Source organism: Homo sapiens, chromosome 19 (genome assembly GCF_000001405.40).
Source record: "Homo sapiens chromosome 19, GRCh38.p14 Primary Assembly".
Classification (NCBI taxonomy): Eukaryota; Metazoa; Chordata; class Mammalia; order Primates; family Hominidae; genus Homo; species Homo sapiens.
Window position 1 is genome coordinate 3,022,208 of NC_000019.10, and position 12,222 is coordinate 3,034,429.

The following is a 12,222-nucleotide window of genomic DNA, read 5'->3' on the forward strand; positions in this document are numbered from 1 at the left end:
CCAGCTAATTTTTGTAAAAAAAAATTTTTTTAGGCCAGGTGCGGTGGCTCACGCGTGTAATCCCAGCATTTTGGGAGGCCGAGCCAGATGGATCACCTGAGGTCAGTAGTTCAAGACCAGCCTGGCCAACATGGTGAAACCACCCCCCCACCCCATCTACAAAAATACAAAAACTAGCCGGCATGATGGTGGGTGCCTGTAATCCCAACTACTCGGGAGGCTGAGGTGGAAGAATCGCTTGAACCCAGGAGGCAGAGATTGCAGTGAGCTGAGATCGTGCCATTGCACTCCAGCCCGGGCGACAGAGCAAGACTCTGTCTCAAAAAAAAAAAAAATTTTTTTAAGGAAAAAAATAATAGATTTAAATATTATTAATAGTTAACCTAAGTGTAAATGATCACACGGGGCTGGTGACTGCCGTGTAGGATAGCGGAACAGTAGTATATTCCACTGTATGCACTCTGAGGCTGCTTGTGTATACACGCTCCTGAAGACAGACATCTGGGCTGTCTCCACCAAGGAGGTATCAGGATGCGGATACAGAGCTCCCATGGGGGTGCACCTGTGTGTGGGTGTGTGTAGGATGGGTTGGAAGACTTTCTAGAAAGGGCCAGAGAGTGAAAACATTTTCCCTCTGCAGGCCAGAGGTCTCTGTTGCAACTACCAAACTCTGTCACTGTAATGGGAAAGCTGCTGGAAATGATATGTACATGAGTGGGCGTGGCTATGTCAATAAAACTTTATTTGCAAAAACAAGTGGAGGGGTGGAGCTGGCCCTCGAGCTGCAGTTTGCTAATTCCTGGAAATGTGTGCCTTACTCATTCCTTTCAACAGTCATTTTACCTAATCTTTTTTTTTTTTTTTTGAGACAGAATCTCGCTGTGTTGCCCAGGCTGGAGTGCAATGGTGCGAACTCGGCTCACTGCAACCTCCACCCCCCGGGTTCAAGCAATTCTCCTGCCTCAGCCTCCCGAGTAGCTGGGACTAGCCCAGCTAATTTTTGTATTTTTAGTAGAAATGAGGTTTCACCATACTGGCCAGGTGGGTCTCAAACTCCTGACCTCATGACCCGCACGCCTTGGCCTCCCAAAGTGCTGGGATTACAGGCGTGAGCCACTGGGCTCGGCCTACCTAAACTTCTTGCGGCTCTTGCCTTTCTCTAGACCACCTCGTCCCCACTTTCCGCTGCAGATGCTCTTTATGTTCTGTGTCTACACAGGACCTCTCCCCACCCCAAGCTTCCAGAAATCTCAGACTCAGTGGAATCTGAACAAACTGAGCATCTCCCCTCTGGGTTTGGTCCTCAAGGCATCAAGGATCCTCCCAGTGTATCCACTCTGAAGTAGAACTATCTTTCACGTCTCTCTGAAGAGAGAACGTACCACACAGAAACAGGGACAGTGCAGGCTGGGTACAGTGGCTCACACCTGTAAACCCAACACTCGGAGCCTGACACGGGCGGATTGCTTGAGTCCGGGGGTTCGAGACCAGCCCGGGCAACATAGGGAGACCCGTCTCTACTAAAAATACAAAAATTAGCCGGGCGTGGTGGTGCACGCCTGTAATCCCAGCTACTCAGGAGGCTGAGGCATGAGAATCGCTTGCACCCAGGAGGTGGAGGTTGCAGTCAGCCAAGATCATGCCACTGCACTCCAGCCTGGGTAACAGAGCAAGAATCCATCACACACACACACACACACAAAAGAAAAGAAAAAGAAAAAAGAAACAGGGACTGTGCAAAGGTACTGAGGATGAAAGGAACCTGGGGCACTCTCAGAAGAGCTAACTTTTTTTTTTTTTTTTTTTGAGATGGAGTCTAACTCTCTCACCCAGGCTGGAGTGCAGCGGCGCAATCTCTGCTCACTGCAACCCCCGCCTCCTGAGTTCAAGCAATTCTATTCTCCTGCCTCAGCCTCCCGAGTAGCTGGGATTACAGGCAAACACCACCATGCCCGGCTAATTTTTTTTTTTAAGTTTTAGCAGAGACAGGGTTTCACCATGTTGGACAGGCTGGTCTCGAACTCCTGACCTCTGGTGATCCACCTGCCTCAGCCTCCCAAAATGCTGGGATTACAGGCAGGAGCCACCGCACCTGGCCGAATTACAGTCCATTTTAACCATTTGTAAGTGCACAGCTCAGCAGCATAAAGCACACACACGGTTGTGCAGCCATCCCCAGCACCATCTCCAGAATTTTCCCATCTTCCCAAACTGAATTTCTGTCCCCATAAAACTCTCACTCCCCGTCCCCTCCCCAACCCCTGGCACCCCCCATTCTGCTTTCTGTCTCAGTGAACCTGACGACCCTGGGACCTCCTAGGAGTGGATCACCCAGTGTTTGTCCCTCAGTGACTTCTTCTAGCAAGACGGTAGGGTTAACTTTCATCAGGTGCTGAGTAAGCGTACCCATCATCTCCAGCACCCTGGGTGTATGAGCTCATCTCAACTTCACACCTACGCTACTGAAAAAACAGAGACAAGTGTCCTGCCTGAGGCCACACAGCCAGGATTCAGACCCAGGCAGCCAACTTGCAGGGCTTGAGGGGGTCAGCTCTATGCCTTGCTTCCCATCAAGGGGGAAAACAGCCCCCAGTCCTCACCCTCAGCCAACACCTCCCTCCATCCCTGCAGCCCCTGCCCCAGCGGGATGCCTGGCCTCAGGGCTGCGGGACTACTGCAGTGAAAATGGTCTCTATCCGTGCTGCAGGCTACGCGGCAGAATCAGTGCCTGGGGCGTCCTCGCCCAGACCTACCCCCTCCCGTCTTCTTCCGGCTCCCTTCCCCTCCTCCCCCCACCCCCAGGCCCACTCACCTCCTGGGTCAGGAAGGGGATAATCTGAGCGCAGATACCGCTCAGACGCTTCACAATCTCCGCCTGGCAGGAAGCAATGAGAGGAAGCTTGGAGCGGGGTAGAGATTTGCAACCCAGCTCTGGACTCCCAGGCGGACCAGGTGTTGGCAAAGCCGAAGGGTTGGGGAGGTGACGCCCGCAGGTGCACAGAGGGAACTCAGGCTAGCATGGCATGGGCCGAGGTGGGATTCAGAGCCCCACCAGGCTGCGTGCTCAGCTGAGCGAGGCCCAGGGTGGCCTGGAGCTGGGAAGACCAGGGCTGAGGTCCTACGAGTCACAGATACACCACCCGCCAGACGCACACCCGCCAGGGATTTGCAGGAGGCAGACGCTCAGACACCCAACTCAGACGCAGACACTCAGAGGTGCTGGGCTCAGCTGAAACAAAGGAAAGGGGCCTCCGCCTGGAGTCCCAGATTCCAGCCCCGGCTTGGCCCACGTCTGTCCCAGGCAAGGCCCCTTTCTTGGTCTCCTCCGCTTCCCAGGACTGATCTACCAGCTGGGGATGCCTCCAGGTGGAGATCTCAGCACGCCACACTCAAGGGAAGGATTTCATCTGGAGAGGGTCTGGGCCCAGGTGCCCCAAAGAGGCTGAGCAGACGAGAAGGCGTGTGGGTGGGGAAGGGGGCGGGCATACAATGGCCACGGACTTTGCCTCTGCCTGAGTTACAGGTGTGCTGTGTGTCTGGCGAAGTCTGTGTCTCCTATTCCCACCAGGAGGGTGGAACTGGGATCCCAGGGTGTCCCGCACCCCATAAAGGGGGGTCTATTGCGTGGACCCATGGGACCACGCCATGCTTCAGCAGACAAGCCCCCTCCTGCCCACATCAGAACCAACAGAACCCCCACACATGCAGGAAAGCATGCCAGGGTGGGCAACCCCAGGCACCCCACACTCCCAGCCCACCCCCTTCTCCTTCCCAGCCACCGGGAAGTCCCAATACAAGGTTCTGCTCATTGATTCTAATATTCTGATAGAATCTAGGAGCCCATGAAGCTCAGAAGTTTGGGACCCCTCTCATCCCTTTAGAAACCACTGGCCAGTCTCAGGATCTCAGGATTAAGCATGGACCACTAAAGTCAATTTTAGAATCTTTGGGTCTATTGGCCGGGCAAGGTGGCTCACTCCTGTAATCCCAGCACTTTGGGAGGCCGAGGCAGGTGGATCACCTGAGGTCAGGAGTTCAAGACCAGCCTGGCCAACATGGAGAAACCCCGTCTCTACTAAAAATACAAAATATTAGCCAGGCATGGTAGCAGGCGCCTGTAATCCCAGCTCCTCGGGAGGCTGAGGCAGGAGAGGCGCTTGCACTCAGGAGGCAGAGGTTGCAGTGAGCCAAGATCAGGTCATTGCACTCCAGCCTGGGCAACAAGAGTGAAACTTTGTCTCAAAATTTAAAAAAAAAAAAAAAAAAAAAAAATCTTTAGGTCTATCTCAGAACCTTGAGATCAGAAGTTCGGGAATAGCCTCAGAACCTTTTAACACATCTCAGCACATAGATATGATAATCGCAGAACCCTGAGGTCTATCTCTGAACCCTGAGGTCAATCTCAGAACCCTGAGGTCTATCTCTGAACCCTGTCTATCTCAGAACCCTGAGGTCTATCTCTGAACCCTGATGTCTATCTCAGAACCCTGAGGTCTATCTCTGAACCTTGAGATCACAAGTTCAGGAACACCTCAGAACCTTTTAACACATCTCAGTACACAGATAGGACAATCTCAGAACCCTGAGGTTTATCTCTGACCCTTGAGGTCTATCTCTGAACCCTGAGGTCTATCTCAGAACCTTGAGGTCTATCTCAGAACTCTGAGGTCTATCTCTGACCCTTGAGGTCTATCTCTGAACCCTGAGGTCTATCTCAGGACCTTGAGGTCTATCTCAGAACCCTGAGGTCAATTTCAGAAATTTGAGGTCTATCTCAGAACCCTGAGGTCAATCTCAGAGCCCTGAGGTCTATCTCAGAACCTTGAGGTCTATCTCAGAAAACTGAGGTCAATCTCAGAACCGTGAGGTCTATCTCAGAACACTGAGGTCAATCTCAGAACCCTGAGGTCTATCTCTGAACCTTGAGGTCAATCTCAGAACCCTGAGGTCTATTTCAGAACCCTGAAGTCTGTCTCAGAACCTTGGATCACACTGAGAAGCTCCAGAAGAGGCTCAGAGCCTTACGACACTGGAGTCAATCTCAAAGCCCTGAAGACAGCCACAGAGTTTTGAGGTCTATTTTGGAGTAGTGGGGTCACAGTCTGAACCATGGCATCAAATTCAGGGCCTGGAGAACAATCTTGGAACCTTCCAGCCAATCACACTGAGACCAATCTCAGAAGCTTCAAAGCAGCAACAGAACCTGGGGTCCATCTCAAAACTTCAGACTTTCTGGGTTGAAAGGGACCTCTAAGAGTGGCCATCCAGCTCCCTCCTAGGACAGAAGTCACTTCCACAGCCTCCCTGGCCTGGCTGCCCTGCCTCTGCTATGTGCCCTCCTTGATGGGGATGCCTGGTGGCCCCTGCCCACTGCCTGCATCTCTGCTGGACGCTCCAACTGCTAGATACTGTCTTCAGAAGGTGGGACTCATTTTCCTTCCACGAGGCTGAAATCTGTCTTCCTGGTCCCAGATGGGCCCTCTGTGACCTCTGCGGAGATTTCAGGATGAGACCCGTGTTCCCTAGGTCTGCTCTGGCCCCGGCTGCCCACTCTGGGTCCTTCTCAGGGCTTCCAGACCCCCACCCTCCCTCCTGAACACGCGTAACCCCAACCCAGTTACCTGCTTATGCATTTCAATGTTGAGCCCGTACGACATCTCATAATACTGCAAAGGAAAAACCAAGTAAGAACGTCTAGGGTGGAGATGGGTGCCCTCCTCCAGATAGGTGATGCCAGGGTCTTCCAAGAGTCCCCAGGTTCAGGGGAATCACAGCAGGAAGCAGAGCCCCCCCCAGCTCCACGGGGTCCCAGAGGAGGAAGCGGGGGCTCTGCCTGGAAGGGCCCCCTCTACTCTCCCCAGAGAGGCAGGGCAGGTAGGAAGTGTCCAGAGGCCCTGGCCCGACAGAGACTCCCATCAGGCGAGGGGTCCTCCCTGTCTCCCCATTCCCAGAGCTGGGAGGACCCTCCTAGAGAGCCTGAAATCCCAACCTGCCCAATGTACAGACGGGGAAGACGAGGTTCGGAGTGGGGCAGGGACCTACCCCAGAGTCCACCGTGACTCAAAGCCCTGCCCGCCTCTCCCCTCACCCTGGCATCATAAGTGCCCTCACCATGACATAATGTCGCTGCATTTCCGTCTTCTCGCTGGCCAGCTTCTCACATTCTAGCTTGAGGCTGAGAAGAAGAGAGAGGGCAAGGGGCTCCCACCCGCCCCATGTGGGCCGGCTTCCAAAGTGAGAGGCTGGATCTCCCCCTCCCGACTTCCTTACAGACCTCCCCCCACCTCCTGTCCCAGTCCCTCCCCGCCCCTTCCTGGGCTCCAAATGCCCCAGCTCTGACTGTCCCCAGACCCCTCTGCACCTGCGCTTCCACCTGGAGGCCTTTGTCGCGCCCCCCCTCCAACCGGGAGCCCCTCCTCCCCGCCCTATACCCCGGAGGCCTCGCCCCGCCCCGGCGCCCAGGTGAACTCCCGCGGCCCCTGGGGCGGCCCCCCTCACCTGTGGTATTGAGCCTGAAGAAACTGGAATTCTTCTTTGATGCGGTCGCAGATCTCCAAGATCGAGAACTTGAAGGGCTGGCCGGACTGGAGCGGGGTCTGGGGGGGGTGTGGGGGAAACGTCAGGGTCTGAGTTCCCGGACACTGGGGGCCCCCTCCCCGCAGTCCGCACTCACCGGGTGCCTTCCCTGGGGGTACATCCTGCCGATCCGAAAAGCCCCCCAGGCGCCACCAGAGCTTGATGATATGGAGGCGGCAAGAGTGGGGGAGGCTGAAGTGGGGTGGTGGGGAGGCTGCCCGAAGAAAGAGGGAGGAGGGAGAAGCGGCGCGGGGCAAGGGACCCTGGAGTCCCTGGCGCGCCCCCAAGCGCGCGCGCCCGGGGTCGTGGGAGCCCCTCCCCGGGTTGGGGTGCGCGGGGCGAGCGGGGCGGGCAGGGGCAGCGGCCGGGGCGGGAGCGCGGCGAGGGCGGCCGCGGCAGCCGGCGCAGAAGGTCGGGCGCGCCGCGGCCGGGTTTCGGTGGCGGCGGCGCGGGCGGCGGGCCCCGCGCGGAGCCGCCTCCCTCCGGCGGGGCTCGGCCGGGAGCCGCGGGCTGAGCCGCCTTAAGGTGGCGCCGCCGCCCCCACGCGCCCGCGGCCCGCCCCGCGCCCACCCCCGCGCACCGCCCCTCCCCGCGCCCGCGCCCCCCCCGGCCCCCGGGCACCCGCCCCCTTCCTTCAGTCCCTGGGCCGTTGGGGAAACTGAGGCCGGGTGGGGAGGCGCCCAGTGCCTTAAAACAGGGTCCCCACCCCCTCCCGGAGGGGCGGGAGAAGAAAAACCAGTGAAGAAATTCACACCGTGTTACCCACCGTGGGAGCGGGGGGGGGGGCTTGCGGGGAGCGGGGACCAGTCTGGAGTCGGAAATGGCTTTTCTGAGCAAGTGACATTGGGTTGAGATTGAAGGGTCAGCAGGACGCAGCCTTGCCAAGCGCTGGCAGGGAACCCTGCCAGAAAGGGAATCTCACAGCAAACACTGCTTCCCAGATCATGCCGGGCCCTCGCCCTCTGGGGGCCTCAGTAGTCTCTGCAAAAGGTCAGGGGTGGTGCGCTATCTTTAGGGTTTAATTTTTTGCAGAGATAGGGTCTCCCTGTGTTGCCCAGGCTGGAGTACAGTGGGGCAATCATGGCTCACTGCAGCCTCGAACTCCTGGGCTCAAGCGATCCTTCCCCCTCAGCTTCTCCAGTAGCTGGGACTACAGGTGTGCACCACCACGCCCAGCTAATTTTTTAATTTTTTGCAGAGATGGAGTAGGGGGGCGTCTCACTATGTTGCCCAGGCTGGTCTTGAACTCCTGGACTCAAGCCTCTCTCTTCGGCCTTCCAAAGTGCTGGGATTACGGGCGGGAGCCACCGCACTGGGCACTGCACTTAAATGAGATAGTGCATGAACGCTGTCAGCCTCTCCCTACACAGAGCAAACTTCCACAGATGGGAATTGTGTTCCTACTGCCATCACCAGTGGACTGGGCTGTCTCCCCTCTCAGACTGGGTTTCTTGAAGGCAGGAGCCGTGTCCCACTCAGAACTGGAAGAACCACAGCTCTGCCATCAGACTCAAGTCTCTCCCACGGCAAAGGCTCCAGCCCCGACCAGAGACCACAGACATCCAGCCAGCATCCTTCAGGCCCACCCGGGGAGTGGGAAGTTCTTATTCTCTTTGGAGAAACCTCAGGAGAGGTTTGTGAAGTCAATCAACAAACGTGTACTAAATGCATACTGTGGACCACACACTGCTGTAGACACTGGGGCACAGCTGGGAACAAAACAGAGAAAAATCCATGCCCCTTGATGACACTTGGACTTGTGTCCTTAGGTGATCGAGTACCTAATGGTACCTAAGGGTTAGGGTTACAAAAACCCATTTTGTACCCTTACAAAAGGGCACAAGAGCCCTTATCAATGGGCCAGGGGTGGTGGGTCATGCCTGTAGCTCCAGCACTTTGGGAAGCTGAGGAGGGAGGATCGCTTGAGCCCAGGAGTTCAAGACCAGTGTGGACAACACCGCGACAATACAAAAAAACATTTTTGTGTTTTTTGTATCTCTACAAAAAATACAAAAATAATTAGCCAGGCATGGTGATGCACACCTGTGGTCCCGGCTACTTGGGGGGCTGAGGCGGGAGATACCTGAGCCCCAGAAGGTCAAGGCTGCACTGAGTTGAGATCACATCACTGCACTCCAGCCTGGGTGACAGAGCAGGACCTTGTCTCAAAAAAAAAAAAAAAAAGCCCTTATCAAATTTAAAGCCATCGTTTTCCAGCCCACAGATATTTACAGAGCACCTATGACGTGTCAGGCATCCTTCCAGGCACAGGGATTGTAAGGGTGGATAAGGGAGACAGATCCCTGCCCTCTCTGAGTTTGTGGGATGTGAGTGACAGGCTAGGCAGGTTCACAGCTTGGTAATTATGGGACTATTTGTACAGACAGAGGAAGAGTTTAGAGGGCAGTGATAGAGATGAACAAAAGCAAACCTGCTTATGTGGGGTGTCTGGGAGAGGACCCTTGGGGGAGGGTAGCCTTGGAGATGAGACCTGAACGATGAGGTTGGGCAGCTCTGGGAAGGGAGGAAAAGAGACACAGCCTGGGATAAAGATACAATTGTGTGTGTGTGTGTGTGTGTGTGTGTGTGTGTGTGTGTGTGTGTAGTACTCACTAGCTCCCTATTGCCCTCAAAATAAATCCAAACTCATCTCTCTTCCCACAAGGCTCTTCACAAAACTCTTCCCCTTTTCCCCTTCACCATCTCTTTATGTTTTGTTTATTGTTTATAGAGACAAGGTCTCACTGTGTTGCCCAGGCTGGTCTTGCATTCCTGGGCTCAATCGATCCTCCCACCTCGGCCTCCCAAAGCACTGAGATTACAGGCATGAGCCACTGCACCCGGCCAGCCAGCTTCATGATCTCAACTCCGGTCATTTTCGCCCTCACTCACTCTGCCCAAGTCACACTGGCCTCACACCAGGCACAGTCCAGCCTCAGGGCCATTGCACTTTCTGTTCCCTGTACCTGGAATGCTTTTCCCTTGCTTCTTATCATTCAAGTCTCAGCTCAAAAGCTACCTCCTCAGAACGGCCCCTCCTAGCCACCCATTTCAACAGCTTCTGCCCACCCCGTTATTTTCACACTCTCCATCCTATTCTCCCTCTCTTCCCAGCTCCTACCATAGTGTGTGGCTTTTTGTTTGTTTTTGTTTTTGTTTTTTGAGACGGAGTCTTGCTCTGCTGCCCAGGCTGGAGTGCAGTGGCGCGATCTCGGCTCACTGCTGCAACCTATGCCTCCCGGGTTCAAGCGATTCTCCTGCCTCGGCCTCTGGAGTAGCTGGTATTACAGGCTCCCGCCGCCATGCCCAGCTAATTTTTTTTGTATTATTAGTAGAGACGGATTCACCATGTTGGCCGGGCTGGTCTTGAATTCCTGACCTCAGGTGATCCACCTGCCTCGGCCTCTCAAAGTGCTGGGATTACAGGCGTGAGCTACCATGCCTGGCCTTCGGTTTTTTTGTTTTTGTTTGTTTTGAGACGGAGTCTCATTCTGTCGCTGGAGTGCAGTGGCGTGATCTCGGCTCACTGCTGCAACCTCTGCCTTCTGGGCTCAGGTGATTCTCCTGCCTCAGCCTCCCGAATAGCTGGGATTACAGGTGCCCACCACCACGCCTGGCTAATTTTTATGTTTTTAGTAGAGACCGGCTTTCGCTATGTTGGCCAGGCTGGTCGCAAACTCCTGACCTCAGATGATCCACCCTCCTTGGCCTCCCAAAGTGCTGCGATTACAGGCTTGAGCCACCGTGCCCAGCCCACAGTGTGTTTTGGATGTGAGTATGTTTACTCGGAGGTTGTTCGCGTCCTTGTTTGTCTCCCTCACCACGAAGAAGGCTGTGGAGGGACTGAGCCTGTCTAGGTCTCTGCGGGGCCTGGCACACAGTAAGTGCTCAATAACCAGCCTAAAGCCAGAAACCGCCGGCCACACTCCCTGCTTGGAAATTCTCACAAACAGGGAGCGCCATCATTCTACGCTGTCAAGAGTCCGTGATTCCAGGTTCTTGGGGGTCTGTGAAGTGCTGATTCCAAACCCTTTCCGGCAGGTGTTTCACTGCTCCTGGGAGGCCAACATCTCCCCTGCCTGGACCTTGAGCATACATGGTAGCCTCTGTCCTCATTGTCTGCAACTGTCCACCCCACATCTTCCTTCTTGTTGGTTGTTTTTTTTTTTTGACGGAGTCATGCTCTGTCGTCCAGGCTGGAGTGCAGTGGCACGATCTCGGCTCACTGCAACCTCCGCCTCCCAGTTTCAAGCGATTCTCTTGCCTCAGCCTCTCAAGTAGCTGGGATTACAGATCTCGGCTCACTGCAACCTCCGCCTCCCAGGTTCAAGTGATTCTCCTGCCTCAGCTTCTCGAGCAGCTGGGATTACAGACATACACCAAGCCTGGCTAATTTTTTTTTTTAATGGAGTCTCACTCTGTCGCCCAGGCTGGAGTGCAGTGGTGCCATCTCAGCTCACTGCAAGCTCTGCCTCCCAGGTTCACACCATTCTCCTGCCTCAGCCTCCCAAGTAGCTGGGACTACAGGCGCCCACCACCACGCCCAGCTAATTTTTTGTATTTTTAGTAAAGACAGGGTTTCACCATGTTAGTCAGGATGGTCTCAATCTCCTGACCTCGTGATCCGCCCGCCTCAGCCTCCCAAAGTGCTGGGATTACAGGCGTGAGCCACCGCACCCGGCTAATTTTTGTATTTTTAGTAGAGACATGGTTTCACCATGTTGGCCAGGCTGGTCTTGATCTCCTGGCAGGCGATCTGCCTGCTTCAGCCTCCCAAGTGCTAGGATTACAGGTGTGAGCCACCGCGCCCCTCCAGATCTTCCTTCTTCTGCCTAAGCCCCTGGCTCTGGAAACCCAATGGCTCCTTCTTGACCTCCATTACAATGCTTGCTCAGAGCAGCCTCACCTCCCTCTGCGGGGCTCTCCTGTCCGGGCGGCCCTCTTCCCTCTCTAAGCACAGGTGTGGTGGCTCAAACTTGTAATCCCAGCACTTTGGGAGGCCAAAGAGGCCAGGAGTTTGAGACCAGCCTGGGCAACATAGCGAGACCCAACCCCCACCCCCCATCTCTACAAAAAGTAAAATAACAAACGTAGGTCTCTGTCCTTCCTTAGCCCGGTCACTTGAATGTCAACTTGACTCACACCTCTGGCTTCCAGGGCTCTGAGACACCGCCTCTCCCTCCAGGCTTCAGTGACCGCCTCGTGAGGATGGCTGCAAGCTCTGGCACCACCTCCGGTTCCTACTCTGAGACCCAGCCCTGTGGGTCCAGCCACCAACTGGGCATCTCCCCTAGAGGTCCCCCAGATCTCAGACTCTTACCCCCTGCTCCTATCAGGGTTCCCACACACATCCCCCAGATACTCTAAACCAGAGCATCACCCTAGCCCTCTATTCCCAACACCTGGCCTGCAACCCTCCTCCGTTCTCCCCACCCCAGCAGCCCCCACCCTGACCAGGCCTTTGTCCTCTCTCCCATCTGGACCACAGCCACCTCCTCCCTCTGAGCAGCCTTTGTTTTTGGTGATCTTCAATTGGAGCCTGGCCCTCCTTCCCTCAAACCCTCCCCTGGCTCCCTATTGCCCTAGGGATAAATTTCCAGCTCTTCACCCTAGCACTGGAACCTCTGCAACCCTGCCCCAGCCAGC

The 12,222-nt window shown here is 55.4% G+C and overlaps 1 protein-coding gene across 6 annotated transcripts in view; it reads right to left on the reverse strand.

Annotated features, from left to right (window-relative positions):
• The window catches only part of TLE2 (TLE family member 2, transcriptional corepressor), a 49,992-nt gene that overhangs the window by 24,564 nt on the left and 13,206 nt on the right, over positions 1 to 12,222 (reverse strand). For 4 of the 6 annotated variants that reach the window (NM_003260.5, XM_011528230.2, XM_006722864.3 and 1 more), the window contains exons 1-5: positions 6,674 to 7,073; positions 6,499 to 6,596; positions 6,112 to 6,175; positions 5,622 to 5,666; positions 2,813 to 2,875 (exon numbers count right to left, since the gene is read on the reverse strand). In NM_003260.5, coding sequence (NP_003251.2) covers positions 2,813 to 2,875; positions 5,622 to 5,666; positions 6,112 to 6,175; positions 6,499 to 6,596; positions 6,674 to 6,697 — 294 coding nt within the window. In that variant the 5' untranslated portion in view covers positions 6,698 to 7,073. Of the gene's footprint in view, positions 1 to 2,812; positions 2,876 to 5,621; positions 5,667 to 6,111; positions 6,176 to 6,498; positions 6,597 to 6,673; positions 7,074 to 7,342; positions 7,416 to 12,222 lie in introns of those variants that run through there. The other 2 variants (NM_001144762.2, NM_001144761.2) reach the window with 2 other exon arrangements.